Source organism: Homo sapiens, chromosome 4 (genome assembly GCF_000001405.40).
Source record: "Homo sapiens chromosome 4, GRCh38.p14 Primary Assembly".
NCBI classification, from domain to species: Eukaryota; Metazoa; Chordata; class Mammalia; order Primates; family Hominidae; genus Homo; species Homo sapiens.
Window position 1 is genome coordinate 136,296,705 of NC_000004.12, and position 20,419 is coordinate 136,317,123.

General features: G+C 37.2%; 1 annotated feature.

Annotated features, from left to right (window-relative positions):
- Nucleotides 2,557-3,156: an enhancer, noted in NCBI's record as "OCT4-NANOG-H3K27ac-H3K4me1 hESC enhancer chr4:137220416-137221015 (GRCh37/hg19 assembly coordinates)". NCBI's record gives its function as "activates a minimal SCP1, AML or CMV promoter by ChIP-STARR-seq in primed H9 embryonic stem cells {active_cell/tissue: H9 hESC(primed)}" and the evidence as "EXISTENCE:reporter gene assay evidence [ECO:0000049][PMID:30033119]".

Below are 20,419 nucleotides of genomic sequence, written 5' to 3' on the forward strand. Positions count from 1 at the left end.
GATTCTGGTATGTGGTGTCTTTGTTCTCGTTGGTTTCAAAGAACATCTTTATTTCTGCCTTCATTTCGTTATGTACCCAGTAGTCATTCAGGAGCAGGTTGTTCAGTTTCCATGTAGTTGAGCGGCTTTGAGTGAGATTCTTAATCCTGAGTTCTAGTTTGATTGCACTGTGGTCTGAGAGATAGTTTGTTATAATTTCTGTTCTTTTACATTTGCTGAGGAGAGCTTTACTTCCAACTATGTGGTCAATTTTGGAATAGGTGTGGTGTGGTGCTGAAAAAAATGTATATTCTGTTGATTTGGGGTGGAGAGTTCTGTAGATGTCTATTAGGTCTGCTTGGTGCAGAGCTGAGTTCAATTCCTGGGTATCCTTGTTGACTTTCTGTCTCGTTGATCTGTCTAATGTTGACAGTGGGGTGTTAAAGTCTCCCATTATTAATGTGTGGGAGTCTAAGTCTCTTTGTAGGTCACTGAGGACTTGCTTTATGAATCTGGGTGCTCCTGTATTGGGTGCATAAATATTTAGGATAGTTAGCTCCTCTTGTTGAATTGATCCCTTTACCATTATGTAATGGCCTTCTTTGTCTCTTTTGATCTTTGTTGGTTTAAAGTCTGTTTTATCAGAGACTAGGATTGCAACCCCTGCCTTTTTTTGTTTTCCATTGGCTTGGTAGATCTTCCTCCATCCTTTTATTTTGAGCCTATGTGTGTCTCTGCACGTGAGATGGGTTTCCTGAATACAGCACACTGATGGGTCTTGACTCTTTATCCAACTTGCCAGTCTGTGTCTTTTAATTGCAGAATTTAGTCCATTTATATTTAAAGTTAATATTGTTATGTGTGAATTTGATCCTGTCATTATGATGTTAGCTGGTGATTTTGCTCATTAGTTGATGCAGTTTCTTCCTAGTCTCGATGGTCTTTACATTTTGGCATGATTTTGCAGCGGCTGGTACCGGTTGTTCCTTTCCATGTTTAGCGCTTCCTTCAGGAGCTCTTTTAGGGCAGGCCTGGTGGTGACAAAATCTCTCAACATTTGCTTGTCTATAAAGTATTTTATTTCTCCTTCACTTATGAAGCTTAGTTTGGCTGGATATGAAATTCTGGGTTGAAAATTCTTTTCTTTAAGAATGTTGAATATTGGCCCCCACTCTCTTCTGGCTTGTAGGGTTTCTGCCGAGAGATCCGCTGTTAGTCTGATGGGCTTTCCTTTGAGGGTAACCCGACCTTTCTCTCTGGCTGCCCTTAACATTTTTTCCTTCATTTCAACTTTGGTGAATCTGACAATTATGTGTCTTGGAGTTGCTCTTCTCGAGGAGTATCTTTGTGGCGTTCTCTGTATTTCCTGAATCTGAACGTTGGCCTGCCTTGCTAGATTGGGGAAGTTCTCCTGGATAATATCCTGCAGAGTGTTTTCCAACTTGGTTCCATTCTCCACATCACTTTCAGGTACACCAATCAGACGTAGATTTGGTCTTTTCACATAGTCCCATATTTCTTGGAGGCTTTGCTCATTTCTTTTTATTCTTTTTTCTCTAAACTTCCCTTCTCGCTTCATTTCATTCATTTCATCTTCCATTGCTGATACCCTTTCTTCCAGTTGATCGCATCGGCTCCTGAGGCTTCTGCATTCTTCACGTAGTTCTCGAGCCTTGGTTTTCAGCTCCATCAGCTCCTTTAAGCACTTCTCTGTATTGGTTATTCTAGTTATACATTCTTCTAAATTTTTTTCAAAGTTTTCAACTTCTTTGCCTTTGGTTTGAATGTCCTCCCGTAGCTCAGAGTAATTTGATCGTCTGAAGCCTTCTTCTCTCAGCTCGTCAAAATCATTCTCCATCCAGCTTTGTTCTGTTGCTGGTGAGGAACTGCGTTCCTTTGGAGGAGGAGAGGCGCTCTGCGTTTTAGAGTTTCCAGTTTTTCTGTTCTGTTTTTTCCCCATCTTTGTGGTTTTATCTACTTTTGGTCTTTGATGATGGTGATGTACAGATGGGTTTTCGGTGTAGATGTCCTTTCTGGTTGTTAGTTTTCCTTCTAACAGACAGGACCCTCAGCTGCAGGTCTGTTGGAATACCCTGCCGTGTGAGGTGTCAGTGTGCCCCTGCTGGGGGGTGCCTCCCAGTTAGGCTGCTCGGGGGTCAGGAGTCAGGGACCCACTTGAGGAGGCAGTCTGCCCGTTCTCAGATCTCCAGCTGCGTCCTGGGAGAACCACTGCTCTCTTCAAAGCTGTCAGACAGGGACACTTAAGTCTGCAGAGGTTACTGCTGTCTTTTTGTTTGTCTGTGCCCTGCCCCCAGAGGTGGAGCCTACAGAGGCAGGCAGGCCTCCTTGAGCTGTGGTGGGCTCCACCCAGTTCGAGCTTCCCGGCTGCTTTGTTTACCTAAGCAAGCCTGGGCAATGGCGGGCGCCCCTCCCCCAGCCTCGTTGCCGCCTTGCAGTTTGATCTCAGACTGCTGTGCTAGCAATCAGCGAGATTCCGTGGGCGTAGGACCCTCCGAGCCAGGTGTGGGATATAGTCTCATGGTGCGCCGTTTCTTAAGCCGGTCTGAAAAGCGCAATATTCGGGTGGGAGTGACCCGATTTTCCAGGTGCGTCCGTCACCCCTTTCTTTGACTCGGAAAGGGAACTCCCTGACCCCTTGCGCTTCCCAGGTGAGGCAATGCCTCGCCCTGCTTCGGCTCGCGCACGGTGCGCACACACACTGGCCTGCGCCCACTGTCTGGCACTCCCTAGTGAGATGAACCCGGTACCTCAGATGGAAATGCAGAAATCACCGTCTTCTGCGTCGCTCACGCTGGGAGCTGTAGACCGGAGCTGTTCCTATTCGGCCATCTTGGCTCCTCCCTGTTCTATTAATTTTGATGTTATACTTAACTTTAAAAGAAGTAGAAATAGCTTACCTATTTGAATGTGATCTTAGATTTTAAAGAATTCTTTGTCGGAAAAGTGTAACATTCTAAGTAAACATAAATAAAACAAAGCAAAACAATCTAAATTTCAACTTGCTTCCAGGTGTTGCTGATGACAAGGAACTTGAGGAAAATGGACCGCATTGTTCGTGATAGCTGAAGAGATAATGTGCGAAATTGAAAATGCTATTTTCATAACTCAGAGGCAGGCAGAGACAAAAAGCATCAACAACTTATTCTGTCATTTTGAGAGAAAGCTAAGCAAAAACCTTCCTGTAGTTTCATAAGATTTTTCTCCTATTTTAGTATACACAAGTGAGATTGCTGCAAGTTCCATATGCTAAGACCTTAATTAGCAATTCAGTGTACCTGAGGCTGCAGCCTGATGCCATTGTTGCAACTGACTTGGAGAATGAAGGCAGCCCCACTTTGTTCAGTGATTCCTATTTGCACTAACTGCCTTGTGAAATCTGGAAGCATCACCTGAGTTTCCCCTTGTTAACCCAAAGCATATCACAGGGCTCAGGTTGATGTCTAGGGCCCCTGTGCTCTCTGTTCTCTGCCCACACAGCAGCTGTAATCACATTCTGAGCATAGGGAGCCTGGTTTTATCTAACTGCTCCAAATCCGTTGTCTCAAAAAGGGACAGAGCGTCTTTTATTGAAATGAGCTGAAAGCATTTACATTCTCCAAAAGAGCTGTGCTTCCTAAGGATACTCAAAAATTACTAATTGTGTCTGGTGCCAGGTGCACAAAGCAAATCATTTGATTTTGCTTTCACAGTTTTTAAGAAAAAGGAAGGTACATTTACAGAGAGAATCACCATATTGCTTCTCAAGATGTATTTATTGTTTCTGGGGATGATACCTGCTTTTTCTTTTTCAATGTGTTATTCTAGCTCAATTTCCTTATATTCTTTTCTTTTTCTCTTTTATTTTCATATCGAATTGTGATCAGAAGAGCAAATGGAATTTCATTTTGCAAAGTTCTCTGTTGATTCCTATATAAATTTCAGAAACTGTAGAGACTATCAGGAGACTGGTGTTTCTTTCTTAAGAAGTTGTTGGTTTGATATCCTTCAAACTGAGTGAGATTAATGGGCATGGATAGATAAGAGCTCATGAGCATGCATATTATAGCTCATCACTTTTTCGTTAATGTAAGAACCATAGCTATTCACAATGTTGTGTTATTTTCTTCAGCTCTAATTTTTATTCTCCTGCTATGTCTTTTTTATCTCACGAATGGTATCGTAAAATTATCATTCTTAATGTTGTGTGTGCCACATTGATGTGGTTCATTTTTTGTAATCTCTATAATATTAAGTCTGATTTTCACTTAACTTGTATAAACCTTTTCCATATATCCCTCAGTTGCCTTAACTGGGTTCAGTTAATATTTTTCTAGAATAATTTTTTAAAGCAAATTAATGATGTCAGGTTTATTCAAATTTGTATTGATCTATAAATGTGTCGGGTTATTTTTTTCTGGAATGAAATAATTACAGAATGAGTTTAAATGAGCCAATGCACAGATATGTCTATCTATATAACTCAGTCTAATACTTAGACTATGAAATTTTTGGGGGAGGGAATTTCATTGTATGTTTGGGTTATTGTTTAATCTTAGATGTGCCACCAAATATATAACTAACATTTTCAGTCATAGTTCAGCCAGATAAATGGAACCAGTAGAAGATATAAATTAAGGGATTTATTGTAAAGTTTTGGCTTAAACAATTCTAGAGCCCCCTAGTCAGTCAAAGATCTGTAGAGTAGTACATCAGGAAGAAAAGATGGAAATTCTCAACCATAAGCAAAAGCTTCACTCTAACAGTAAAATACTTTTTCTTCCAGGAAAACTCAGTACCATTCTAAGGACTTTCACTGACTGAATCGACCCACCAGATTATCTAAGAAAATCTTTTAGTCCACTGACTGTGCATGTTGATTATACTAATCTAGGTATAGGTGTTTGATTGAATAACTAGGTATGATATGATAGCCAAGTTGACTCATAAAACTGACCATTAAAGTCCAAAACTTGTCAACTTGACATCCATGTACATCTTTTAAGACCAAGCTTAATCTCCAATTAAAGACAGTAACAAAGTCATACTTTCAAGCTAACATGTTATAACTATCTGAGTATAACCAAAAGTGCACTATGGCTATGGCTTTGTGTTTTGTAGGTTTAGATGTCTTAATCCAAAGAGAGAAATGCTTCCACCAGGAGGCACAATAATGATCCCATTGAACTAAAAATTGAGATTGTCACAAGCCTCTTTGGTCTCCTAATGTCTCTGAAACAACAGGTAAAGGAGGCCATTTCCTCAGAGAAGGATCATAGTCCTTATACAATGTTTACTTTTCTCCCTGATATCCTGTAACTTAAATACTGTGGTGTAAAGTTAACTGTTAGTAGTATATCTCATGTTAGATGGAAAGAGATTTGAAAGGAAAAGAAATTTTTCATATATATATGCATATATATAAATATTCATTAAAAACAAGGAATAAATGCTCATAAATATTACAGTCCTCATGTCTACAACTGATTGTGGGTTCATAGCTAATATTTATAAACCACCATTTCTACTATCATTCCAGTATCTCAGCTGATTGTGGGTCATTGCCTGGTGAGGTAATCTGAATCTTTATTACTGAAGTGTGTGGGCCATCAGCAGTCCTGCTGGAGCTGGGTTGTTGTAGTTTTCCACTGACTTTAATCATAAGACATAGCAATGCTAGGAAATGAGTTAAGAGCTCTCCTGTATTTCAGACATATTTTTCCTTACTTTCACTGTGTAGCTATAGCAAACCAATATTTTCTCAGAAGTCAGGATCAATCACCCTAGTAAGTATAGAAAGTCCCTTTTATCTATTGATTCAGAGACATGAGGATACCAAAGTGACAGGTGACAGTCTCATTTTTGTGCCTCCTTTTGGAAGCATTTCTTTCTTTAAGATATCTAAACCAACAAAACATAAAGCTATAAGGAAAGAAAGTAAAAACTTTCTAGTGGTAATAGTGAATGCTGCCACACTCAGTTTGACTATTTGATTCCTAAACCTGTGAATTCTGGCTATGTGACAAACAGCACCATATATTGATGCTGACTCAGAGCACACAGAGCTTTCTGGGGAAACTTGTCCCAGCATTGCAAAATTTCTGACTACCTTGTTATATAACTGAGCCTCCAAAAGGCCATTCCACTGTTCTATCAAGTCAGCTCCATTCATCTGGTAAAACCTGTGAATTCCATGAGTTTGGGCTCACTGTTACATTTCTTTTGCTATGAAGTGAGTTTCTCAGTCAGAATCAATGCCTTTTGTAATATTATGACAGTGGATAAGGCATTCTATAAGCCCACGAATGCTAGTTTTGTCAGAAGCATTGAATGCAGGAAAGGCAAATACGTATCTATTAAGTTGGTGAAAAAGCATTTACGGTTTTTGAAGTTAGGTTTTGCACCAACCTAATAGAGTTAAGTGTCTATTTCAGTAAGAACAATATGCTACCCCATTCCATGGCAGGAGTGGCTCGATATAATCAACCTGTCAGGTAGATGGCTGATCATCCTGGGGAATGGTGCCATATCAGGAACTTAGTGTTGGTCTTTGCTATTAGAAGACTGGGCACTCAGCAGTGGCTGGAGCTAGTTCTCCTTGGTGAAAGGAAGTTCACGTTGCATAACTTCTAACTTTGCCACTGTAGCCACTTTAAGAACCTATTGAGCAGTGGCAGTTATGGCTAAGAAAAGAGGATGACAGGTAGCTATGATAGGTCATCTTATCCATGTAATTTTTAAAACTAATTTGAAAATTACTAAAATTATTAAAATCCCACTCTGATAAGGTCACCCTTTCATAAGCGTTCACATGGATACAAAATATTTCACAGTATTTGCCTACTAAGTGAGGTTGATCCACATATTTCTTCCCCAGACCTCTTTGTCACCACTTTTTCAATTAAATATCTTCCAAGTCCCTGATCATCCAGCCAAACAATTGGCTAGATCTCATGAATCAATATCTACTAATACCTCTGGCAATTGTGTCTTCCAAGCAAAATGTATAAGCAAGTTCTAACAACTTTATTACTTTCCTTCAGGGATGTACCAGGAATGACCCATCATGCTCAGCTGTCCACTTTCAGATGTTACCTGCATATCACATAAACTAGGCCTGAGTTTTATTTTGCTCGGTCAACTGATCATAAGAAACTTCCCAGGAAGCCATAGGTATAGGCTAATTTCATACATTTCACTTCCATATGTGAAAATAGAGAGCTGCTGAGCAAATTATGGCTTGGTGGGTCAGAAAATACCCAGTTCATGATGGGCATCTCTGGTTGTTTGCTAACTCAGTGTCTCATGGGTAAACATTTAGTCTCTAGTCTCTATTAAGGCCAATAGGAAGCCAAAGATGTATCTCAAAAAGATAATAGTTATCCACAGAGGATAACTGAGCTTTGCTTCAAAATCCTAAGGATCGTTTCCGTGATTCATCAGTAAGCACCTGCCAAAGGATCCAACCAGTATCTTGATCTACCACAGATATTTAAGGCATCATTGGATCTGCTAGATCACATGGCTCAAGCATAGAATCAATTTGCATGGCAGCTTGGAACTGTTGAGAAGGCTTATTTTGTTGTGGACCCCACTCAAATTCAGCAATTTTTTACATCTCTCAATAATGAGCTGGCATAGCACACTCAAATGGCAAACATGTGGCCTTCTAAATCCAAAAAGACTCACTTGGCATTGTGCCTCTTTTTTGGTTCAGCCAGATGCAAGAATTTATACTTTTATTAAAAAGTATATCTTGACATGCTACATATACATCACTGATCTCCTAGAAATTTTACTGAAGTGAAAGATCTTTGTATTTTTGTCAGATTAATTTTCCACTTTCTGTAACATAAATTTCTTATTTATAAATCTTAAATAACTGCCATTTCTTGCTCAATGGGTCAAATTTGCATAAAACCATCAAAGTAATAATGGATCAGCATAATGACTTGTCAAAAAAAAACATGATGAATGTTCCTCTAAAATAAATTATGACATAGGAGTAGAAAGTTGATATACCTTTGAGACAGGGTACTGAAACTATACTTCTTGTTGTCGATCAACAGGTAGTGAGAAAAAAGCATTTGCCAGATTAATAGCTGCATACAAAGTACCAGGAAATATGTTAATTTGCTCAAGCGATGAACCTACATCTGTAAGAGCAGGTGCAATAACTATAGGATTGGTGTGGGGACACACTGAACTCAGTATAAGACACACCTGAGCAACAGCTTTAATGCCTACCCGCTCTCTGTAAACTCCTGTTCTGACTGGTGGACTCTGCTAACATTTTGTGTCTCTTGTAATTAATGTCACTTCACACCCAGTGTCAAATAATTCCCCAGAATTCAGATTACTTCCCTTTCCCCATTGCACAGTCACCTTGATAAATGTCCATAGTTTCCTTTTGGGAAGGCTGAGAGAAAGATTAAAGTATAAATATTTAGCAATGTAGCAGAGTCCTCAATCAACGGGTCCCAACCTCCCCTTTAATCAAGAAGTTCTGGGTCCGTAAACTGACTCATACCTGAAAATAGATTAAGGAGCCATCATTCCCTGTTTTGGTGATTTAAGTGAAACTTCTGTTCACTTGACTTCAGGGTGCTTTTAGAGGGCCAAGCTTTTGTATAGTTTCCTTGGTTGTAGAGTTTCCCGAGGTGGGTTTCATAGGTGTTGTGTATTGAACCACTAAATTTTTGTTTGGTGTAATTCAGGCTCTAGCACAGTAGATGGAACATGCAAGTAAAAGCCAGCAGATAGGCTCTTAGCCATGCTCTCTCCTCTTGACCCAGACATTTTCATTTATACATATCAATTAAGAATTTAGTATATTGGCCAGGCGCGGTGGCTCACACCTGTAATCCCAGCACTTTAGGAGGCTGAGACAGCTGAATTGCTTGAGCTCAGGAGTTCAAGACCAGCCTGGACAACAAGGTGAGACACCTCCGAACTCTACAAAAAATACAAAAACAGTAGTGAGGCATGATGGTGCACGCCTGTAGTCCCAGCTACCTGAGAGGCTGAGGTGGGAAGATGGCTTGAGCCTGGGAGGCAGAGGTTTCAGTGAGCTGAGATTACACTATTGCACTCCAGCCTGGGCAATAGAGCCTGTCCAAAAATAAATAAATAAATAAATAAATGAAGTAAAATTAGTATATTGCTTATCTGTTTTCTAGTTACATCAAGGTCCAGAAGCAAGCACTATAGGTGTTGTGAGTCAGACTATTCTGATTGCTGCTTTGACTTTACTGTCCATCACGGTAACCATAACCACACTGTTTTTGGTAATTAGGTACCCCCACTTGGCCTGTGTCACTCTGGGATGCTATTAACCCTGTTACATTTAAGGATTTCCGCTCATTAGTAGCAATTTCCACTGTTATCTTTGACCTATAGAGAAGAGCTACCACAGAGTTCTTCAAGAATACTGAGACTCCTCTCACAACTTATGTTCTTATGGTCATAATGAAAGATGTATTCTCTGGATGCACTTGGTATGGGTGAGCAGGTTTTACTTTATAAATCTTCTATAACATTCCAATATCCCTAAACCTTTAGACGTCTTCTTTTGCAGTATAACAAGGCAGTTCTGGCATTTAATCTTGATTTAGTGTAGGCTGCTTTTTGCTCCATGTTTCAGATAACCAAACAAACTGTTAAAGACCTTTTACATTCTCAAGCTAAAATACAGAATCCAGAATCTCTGTTTAGTGGGATCATTTCTGCTCATGTATTCCCATTCCAATTATCAGGCTCCCATTCCTTTTCATTTAATGCCTGCATTTAACTGAAGATGCATTGCAAGGTTGGGAATTCAATGTCTGATGCAATTTAGCCACTCTCAGGATGAGGCTGTGGGTTTGGTCTTCAATAATTTCAGCCCTGTGGCTACAGGAGATAAGGGTTTTATTTATGACAGACATAAAAGCTTTTAATTCGTTTATGCAGAACTTGAGATGGGAATTTGAAATCCTGAATTTATTCTTTTTCTACTTTCTCCAGTGCAGTTCTGAGCAACTAATCAATCTCATTATACTCGTTAGTTTGACAAAAATGTTGTCAAATATATGGTCACCCAGAACCTTTTATAAGTATTTGATTAGGAGTATCCAATGGTGATATTTTGCCTATCTGTATTATCACATCATGCCATGGACTGTCAGTCCTCTCCTTACTACTGGAAATAGAGTCATTATTTCTTTAAATCTAATCAGAATAGAATAACAGTAACAGAAACCAAGAATTAATTCAAGAAACTTAAGATTCTGTTTTTCTAGAATCACTTCTGATATCAAAATCTGTATCAACAAGGTTTGATACACAGAAAGAGAATCAGTAGGAGATACATAGATTAAGGAACTTATTAGAAAGAAGTGGCATATGTGATTTTGAAGGCTGGCTAGGAAGTTCATAGGTAGTCCATAAGGAAGGGCAGGATGAAACTGAGTATGAGTTGAAGCTGCAGTTTGCAAGTAGAATTTTTTCTTCAGTGAATTCTCAGCTTTATTTCTGAGGCATTTCCATTGGTTAAATAATGCCCCCCCCAGCTTATCTAGGATAATCTCTCTTATCTTTATCGCTGTGTTGGCCAGGCTGGTCTCGAACTCCTGACCTCAAGTGATCTGCCCACCTGGGCCTCCCAAAGTGCTGGGATTACAGATATGAGTCACTGTGACTGGCCTAAAGTAGGCTTATAGCATTTTATTATTCATTTACTTAATATGGTAAACATTTAGCTCCTCTAGTTTCCTGGAAAACTGTAGAAGTTCTATTTAATAAAATACTAGATAACTTAGGATAATGTGTAAAAAAAAAAGTAATATTTGTCTCAAAGAAATTATTTTTTTCCTAGCAATAATGTGATTAAACTAATTAATATTTTAAATGCTTAGGGCAATATCTGTTCCATTTAAAATGCTCAATATATATAAGATACTCTTATTTAAGAGGCAGCAGAAAATAATACTGAAGACTGCAGGCTGTGAGGAAAGAGTACTTTAATTTAAAACCTGATTTTGCCACTTATTGCATATATTATCCTAAGTAAATTTTTTAAGTTTCATCACCACATAAATACAACATAAAAAAAAGTACTTCCTGTCTCATAGTGTTGCCAATAGAATTATGTGATTGTATGTATAAAAGCTTTAAATTACTCAATTTATTATTAATATCAGCAGATTGTTAATAAATATCAGAAAACAAAGCAACATGAAACAACTTTATTTAATTTATACTTGGTGATAAATTTTAAAACTTTCTGGTAATTACTGACATCATCATAAATCAGGATTCCAGGTTAAAAACTCCAAGTATTCTTCTTTAATTTCATGTTCTTTACATACTGAGTCTTATGCTTCTAAAATTTCTTCACAGCTGTTCTTAAATTGCATTCCACTGCTAGATCCCTTTTCCAGATTGTCTTCACTTAATGTGATTTATTTAAAAATTCCATAATTAATCATCATTTCGAAACTCATATTTTAGAAATCTAGACTTTTCTTATTAAATGTTAGGCATTCTCCAATTTATGACACTTGCTTATGTGCAAAATAAAATCTATGCTTTTTCATATCTCATAGAAGGCATGCCATAATTTTCTACAGCTGATCTTTCCAATATTGCTCACTAAAGTTTATATCTCAGTTTCATAAGACCAACCTCTTTCCCAGTCCAGTTGTCCGTATGAAATAATAAAAATGAAAACTATTTTCCATCTTATTCTGTTAATCTCATGCTCATTTAGAAACCAGCTAAAGGTCAGGCGCGGTGGCTCAAGCCTGTAATCCCAATACTTTGAGAGGCCGAGGCGGGTGGATCACAAGATCAGGAGATCGAGACCGTCCTGGCTAACACGGTGAAATCCCGTCTCTACTAAAAAATACAAAATATTAGCCGGGCATGGTGGCAGGAGCCTGTAGTCCCAGCTACTTGGGAGGCTGAAGCAGGAGAACGGCGTGAACCCGGGAGGAGGAGCTTGCAGTGAGTCGAGATCGTGCCACAGTACTCCAGCCTGGGAGACAGAGTGAGACTCCATCTCAAAAACAAACAAACAAACAAACAAACAAAAACCAACTGAAATATGTGAAATAAAAAACACATAAATATTAATTCAAATAAAATGAGTTTTAATTTATGACTATATTTTAAAAGTTTATTATTTTAAACAAGTCAAGATATACCCCTTCTTTTTTAATTAGTAAAAGAACAATACCTAGCTTTCTGTAAAGTAATTAAATTAAGCAAATACAAGCACACTATATTGAGTTTATAGTTGTGATTCTCAATGTTATATGTCCATTTATCTGGGCCAGACATTTGATAAACATTATTTTTGGTGTGGCTGTTAGGGTGTTTTTAGATGAGATTAATATTTGAATCAGTATACTGAGTAAAGCATATTGCCTATCCCAATATGAGTGATTCTCACTCAGTTAGTCAAAGACCTGAGTAAAACCAAAAGGCTGACCCTCATGTGGATAAGGAAGAACTCTTCCTGACTGGCTGCCTTTTAGCTGGACATTCACTTTTTTTTTTTTTTTCCAGCCTGGAGGTTTGAGCTGAAACATCAGCTCTTGCTGGGTCTTGAGCCTGGCAGCCTTTTGACTTGAACTGCACCATGTGCTTTTCTGGATCTGCATAATTATGAATGCAGATATTGGGGTGCCTCATCCCTCATTATTAGATGAGTCAATTCCTTATAAAACTATAAGAATATTTATTCATCCTATTGGCTCTGTTTTTCTGAACCACCCCAACTAATGCAGATTTTGGTACCAAGAGTGGTGCTAGGGAAACATAATTTTAAGGATGAGTTTTCTAATTGATCCTGGGGTTTTTGAAATTGACCCTCTGATTAGATTTAAAGATGATCATGAGTCTATTTGCAGTAGTAAAGAGTATACTAATGGTCCATAATGGAATTTGAAAATAGAGATATGCAAAATATTAGCATTGGATGCTCCTGCTCAACATCTTATAAAAAGCAAGTATTTCAGTGATTGTGTATGTGATACTTTTAAACATGATGCCAAGCTAAGACATATAATGAGATTGGCTAGTTGCACCTAAAGTTGCTAAAGTGAGGAAAGAAATAATGAGCTTGGAAATTCCAATTCCAGCTCAAGCACTCAATAAATGACCTGAATCTAATGTGTGTGCCCTTAAGGAAACAGTTCTCCTATCACCACTGGACTGAGAATGCTAAACATCAAATTCAGGGTCTTATCCTGAAACTTTCTGAATCACAATGCAAGGTGAACTTTTACAACCTCATAGTGTTTCTACTGGTAAGTGAAGTCTTTGATTGGGAAAGAATGGAACATTGAAAGTTGAAATGAATATGTGTGGGAAAACATTGTTTAGAAAAATGGAGCCCCTAAATTTTGATTAGTCTTCTTTTTTTTATTATTATACTTTAAGTTCTAGGGTACATGTGCACAATGTGCAGGTTTGTTACATATGTATACATGTGTCATGTTGGTTTGCTGCACCCATCAACTGGTCATTTACATTAGGTATTTCTCCTAATGCTATCCCTCCCCCATACCCCCACCACAAGACAGGCCCTGGTGTGTGATATTCCCCGCCCTGTGTCCAAGTGTTCTCATTGTTCAGTTCCCACCTATGAGTGACAACATGCGGTGGGTTGGTTTTCTGTCCTTGCAATAGTTTACTGAGAATGATGGTTTCCAGCTTCATCCATGTCCCTATAAAGGACATGAACTTATCATTTTTTATGGCTGCATAGTATTCCATAGTGTATATGTGCCACATTTTCTTAATCCAGTCTATCATTGATGGACATTTGGGTTGGCTCCAAGTCTTTGCTATTGTAAATAGTGCCACAATAAACATACTTGTGCATGTGTCTTTATAGTGGTATGATTTATAATCTTTTGGGTATATACCCAGTAATGGGATTGCTGGGTCAAATGGCATTTCTAGTTCTAGATCCTGGAGGAATCGACACACTGTCTTCCACAACGGTTGAACTAATTTACACTCCCACAAACAGTGTAAAGGCATTCTTATTCCTCCATATCCTCTCCAGCATCTGTTGTTTCCTGGTTTTTTAATGATTACCATTCTAACTGGCATGAGATCGTATCTCATTGTGGTTTTGATTTGCATTTCTCTAATGACCAGTGATGATGAGCTTCTTTTCATATGTTTGTTGGCTATATAAATGTCTTCTTTTGAGAAGGGTCTTTTATATCCTTCACCCACTTTTTGATGGTTTTTTTTTCTTGTAAATTTTTTTTAAGTTCTTTGTAGATTCTGGATATTAGCCCTTTGTCAGATGGGTAGATTGCAGAAATTTTCTCCCATTCTGTAGGTTGCCTGTTCACTCTGATGGTAGTTTCTTTTGCTGTGCAGAAGCTCTTTAGTTTAATTAGATCCCATTTGTCAATTTTGGCTTTTGTTGCCATTGCTTTTGGTGTTTTAGTCATGAAGTCCTTGCCCATGCCTATGTCCTGAATGGTATTGCCTACGTTTTCTTCTAGGGTTATTATGTCTTCTTTACCAGTGGAAGAGGCCTCTTCATGCCCCATAGAAGTGGAATCTGACCTCTGAAGGAATTAACTCTGTATTTCCTGAGGAAACTATAATGACCTTACCTCAGGCAGTTGCCATGTGAGACAATGCTGAGTTTCCTCAAGAACCACCCCATCACCCATCTTGGCTTCTAGATCTATAATTAAACTCAAATTCCAGGAGGTCCATAAAGATGATATGCAAAGTGTAATACATTAGGAGGTGTATTAGAGTCCAAAATAATTACTTTCCTAATTGATACAGACAGAAATCCAGGGAATATGCATAAGAATGGATATTAAGAGTGTGGGATAATGATGGAAGAAAGATAAAGTTGGATCAGAGAAAAGTTATTGATATGGGCTCACCAACCAGAGACTCAGTATTTATTATTACAGCCAAGGAAGTTAGAAAGTGCTCTCACAGTGTGTTTGTTTTGTTGGATGCAACAAGATCAAAAGGTAGCCCACTGTGAGCCAATTCGTTTAATGTTGAGGAAAAGATTCAAAGGCCTAAGGATTGCTAGAGTGAATTTGTAATTTAAGACTTACCTACAACAGGAGGATTGAGAAGACATACTTATGACTAATAAAGTGAAAAATAAATTTGTGAGGGAGCATTAGCAACGTTGAAGAACTATGTGATCACTCTTTGCTACAGGTCAGACCTCACAGTGGGTACTGCAGTCACTGAATTAAGGCACCTAAATGCAATGGAGGTAATAAAATCTGAAAGTGGCAGGGGACATGTGGCAGCCCTCAACTGACAGAGATAAGGTGGAGTGTGATTATCATAATAGACAGCAGAGTCAAAGCAGCAGTCAGAATAGTCTGACTCAAGCAGACCTATAGCATTGGCTAAATTATCATGGTGTTCCTAAATCAAAAATGATAGTAAGCCTACTAAATACTTTCTCGATTAGTATTCACAAAATACTTCTAGGTCAAGTGAACAAACGTTTAACTTGAATCATAGAAACAGAGTCATGGCTCCTCAATCAATTCCCTGGCTTGAGCCAGTTTATCAACCCAAAACCCCTTGAATGAAGAAGAGGCTAGATTTTCATAAAAAAGGATCCTGATTTGCTGCCAAAAATTGTATTACTGTTAATCTTTCTCATAGCCTTTAACAAAAAGAATTACATCTTTTTACCTGAGTCACTGTTCACTGGGGAAAAGGAAATAATAATAATACCTTTTGAAAACTACTGGACACTGTCTCTGAACTGACCAGGAAACCCAAAATTTCACTGTGGTCCACCAGAGTGGGGACTTAAGAAGATCAGATGATCAATGGAGTTTTAGCTTAGGTTCATATTATGAAGGACTCAGTAGGTCCCTAAACCTATACTACTACTATCAAAGTTTAACCAGATGATGTCTACTATTACAGCTCTGTACCAAATATCATATCATTGCTTCATTAAATTAACACAACCTCTAGCACCTGGTTTGCAGTTGTTGATCTGGTATGCAGCTATTGATCTGGAAAATGTTTTTTTTTTGCTCCAATAAAGTTATGTGTCACAAAAGAATAAGAATACATTCTGAGAGATGCATCATTAGGTAATTTTGTAGTGTAAACATCACAGAATGTATTCACACAAACATAGATGGCATAGCCTATAACACACCTAGGCTATATAGTATACCCTGTTGCCCCTAGGCTGCATATCTGTTCAGCATATTACCATACCAAATACTGTAGGCAACTGTAAGATAATCATACATATGTGTGTATCTAAACACTTCTAAACATAGAAAAGGTACAGTAAATATATATGGTGTCATCTTACAAGGCTATTGTTTTATATACATACACATATATATGCATATATACACATATATACACATATACACATATACACATATATACATATATATACATATATACACGTATATACATATATATACATATATATATACATATATATACTTTTTATTGACAGGTACGTTTTTATGCAGTACATGACTATACTTGCTATAAAAGATCTCCAGAAGCAGTTTTCTTTCAACTGGCAAGCTCAGCAATATACCTTCACTATCCTACTTCAGGGGAATAGTGTCATCTGTCTATCTCTCTTAGTTCATTGGAATCTTAGTTTCCTAACAGATGATCAACAAGTTTTATTTCATTTGTATGCTTACAATATCATAAAAGCACTTGTGGTGTTATGAATGATATGGACATATATTGTTTTTCCTTCAGTTGTGGGCTTCTAGTTCCCATAAGCTCTTATTACAGTCTTTTATTAGAATATTGGGTATGTTAGGTCTCAGGGGCAGGCCTCCGGAAACAGAATCTGTCTGACCTTCTCCTGTACTCCTTTTACCCGCCCCAAGGCAGGACTTTAATATTCCCCTGTCTTTCTAATTATGGGTCTTAAAACCCTCCCCACAGAAGATCTCATCCTATATCCTAGGGGAAGAAACGCTGACATCATGAAGCTTCCACAAAAACTCAAGAAGACTGGCTTTGGAGAGCTTTCCATAAACTGAACACAGAAAGAATCCTGGAGGATGGGCATGGAAGGGAGGGCCTGGAAGCTCCCAGTCCCTTCCCCCATACCTCATTCATCTGCATCCTTTGTAATATCCTATCTAATAATTCAGCACATGTGTTTCCCTGAATTCTGTGAGCTGCTTCAGCAAATTAATCAAATCCAAAGAGGGTATTGTGGGAGCTCCAACTTGAAGCCAGCTGATCAGAAATTCTAGAGGCCTAGACTTGTGACAAGTGGGGCAGGTGTAGGTCTTGGGGACTGTGCCCTCACCCTGTGTGACTTGACACAGTCTTCAGGTAGATAGTGACAGAATTTCACTGGAGGATACCTAGCCCATGTCTACTGTTTGGTGTGGGAGGAAAGTCTTCCCTAAAATAGCATGTAACAATTCAGTACATTAATTGAGTTACTTTCTTTTCTCATTACTATGTCATCTGTTAGTATTTTGAAGAAAGTCAGTGTAAACTGTAGAAACCTTTAACAAACAGAAAAATAAACAATTTGAATTTGTTATTTACGAAGGAAACAAATACACTCTTCAATAAGAACAAAATAACATACAGTTGAATGTATTATTAACATTTTTTCCAAATAGATTCTATTGTTATTTTTAATAATTCTGAACTATCCTTATTTTACCTCACTTTTATTTCTTAAATCTATTAAGAATGATTTCATAGATCCTTATTTCCTAAATATACAATGACATTTTAAGGAACACATGTCTAAATCTTCTCTTTGCTTATGTTTTCCTTTACTTTTACTTCAATTATTTTATGAATGGAGGTTAATTTTCTGGCTTCTAAATCTTGTATGAATAAATTCAAAAACAATTTCTTAGATATATTTTATTATGGAGAATTTATCTACATATACATATTAATTATGAATGCAATAAGAATAGAGTATTATAAGGAAGGTTGTAACTTGGAAAGAATTCACAGTAAATCAACTATGAAATAGGTGCTGACGTTGAAATCATAAAATGGAAATGCAAAGAAAGACAGATATTAAGTCAGAATGAAAGTGTAAGCAAAGGATGAAAGCTGTGAATTAGTGATGTGTGTCGGAGAAATATAAACAAATGAGCTTGAATGAATACATTTTTTTCATCAAAGCACACAGAAAGATGAATGTGTATATGCTGATAATGTCCACACTGAAAAAGGTGTTTAGTGCCAAACTAAGAGGCCTGAAATTTTTTGGTTATTGTTTTCAAATAGAGAAGTGTCACAGGAAGGAAATGTTTTAGAATGACTAATTTGTTGGAATATATAGAATTAATTTTACACTGGGGAAGGGGATGGAAACAAATTAGATATTGGACAATAAATTTTAAGAGGAACACCAACTTTGGAGATAAATATAGGAAGTCAAGACATTAGATTTTATCTCCTTGGAGAAAATATAGATCAGCCAAGGAAAAAAATCTAATGACTGAATGTTGATGTATACTATACTTAAGAAGTGAGAGAAAGAATAGAATAATGAAGAATTCAAGTAGTTATATAAAAAAAGAAACAATACAGAGTAAAGTCAGTTAGCTAAGTCTAAGATTATGGTATCTTCATTATTATAATATCATATTGGTTATAACTGACAAATATTTTATTTATAATTGTTTTTCCATGTTAATAAACAAAATTGGTTTAGGGCTTGCCACTGCATATAAACTCTCTGTTTATAATAGACTGAGAATGGAGTGAGAAAATGTGCACTTTTTAATCCATGTTGGAAATTTTTAGGAGGAAAGAAATTATGTTGCCCTTGATTTTTCTTTAATTTTTACAGAAAATCTTCAGGCAGATGTGCACAGAAGTTAAAAGTTTAGAAGGGCTTAAACTCTTATTATATACATACACAGGTCAATTTAGCTTTTCTAAGAGAGTTTAATACATATATTCATAATTCATTTATTCCTTCAAAATTGTAATTCATCTAGAATTCAAAATTAATAGGTATGTAATTGAGCATAATATCCTTCAATCTGATTCAGATTAATGAGCATTAATATGTTGACACTCTTCTGTATGCATGTTATAGTCCATCAATTTTTTTGTTAATGTAAGTGCTATCAAAATTGAGCATAATAGTTTCATTAACCCTTTTCTTGTTTAGAAACAAAAGTGCAGCTCACTGCCAGTGCTCATTTAAATTTACATAAACATACTCTTTGGGGCTAAAGAAAATCTGACTCATTTTCAGTGTGAAAATAAAAAATAAAAACTGTTTTTGGAGTTATTTCTAAGCAGAGCTAACATCAGAATCATCTGAATCATCAAAATTGTCTATTTTGGAAAACCTGGATTCATCAAACGGATCTTCACCCAAAAACCATTTGAGAACGATGTTAACGTAATGCATAGGAATGCTATGTGTTCTAGGATGTGACATTTTCAGGGGCCAAGAATTACTATATTTCGTAAATGGAAATACCATCACTAAAAACAGAATGTTATAAATAGAATGATATCTTTTGTTTCCAAACTTGGCATACTATAGTGATGAGAAAATAATAATAAAAGAAAAATAATTCGTGGCAAAGTTATCTCAGGGTAAATGCTGCAGCCGCAAGCACTACCAGTAAGCATTCGCAGGGCGAATGAAAAAAAAAGTTAATATATTTATCTTCTTTCTAATTCTTGTTAGGGTCAGTCGTCAAAAGAGTATACTCAAGTGACTTTTCTTCCTTCCTTCTCCTTTAAGAAACTTACTTGCCACTCAGTGGGCCATTTTATTCTAAATACTTAAAATTTTCTTTAACTCAGAGAAACTGCCCTTGTTTACATGATAAACCACCCTCCTTTGTTCTTGTTTGTGTTTTCTTTTTCTGAAATGTGTTTTAAAAGTTTTCTCAGTTTTATCTCATGAATTATATTTTATATGCTCTGCTTAACACAGCCAAGGGAGAGAAACAAGTTTCTGTGTTAATTGAAATTGCCAACACATCTTTTGGTGAGCTCCATTCTATCTGGAGGATTGCCCTAAGGCGGTCTTTTCTGCAAATGGGCTGAGTAGGGTATAGACTATTAGAATGGGAACAGGTTTTAATTAATATAGTAAAAACTATGTTATCATTGTAGATAAATTTAGGAATTTTCTACTATGCCCAGCATCTAGAATGTAATTTTCTCCTGTTGGCTATTTTATGATGAGATAGAGCTGCCTGAGTCTGGTCTGGTATTTATACCATCAAAATACATGTATTTGACACTTATATGGCAGACACCAATGTACAGAAGGAACCACTCCTAACAGTTTAGATTAACAATCACAGTCACATTCTCTTAGTATATCAATTAGTTCCTGGTGTTTAAGTTTAGTGTAAAGCTACCTCCTTACAAATTTAAATTCAGCCTGAATGTTTTTCTGTACATCATGAAGTATAACAAGTGGAAG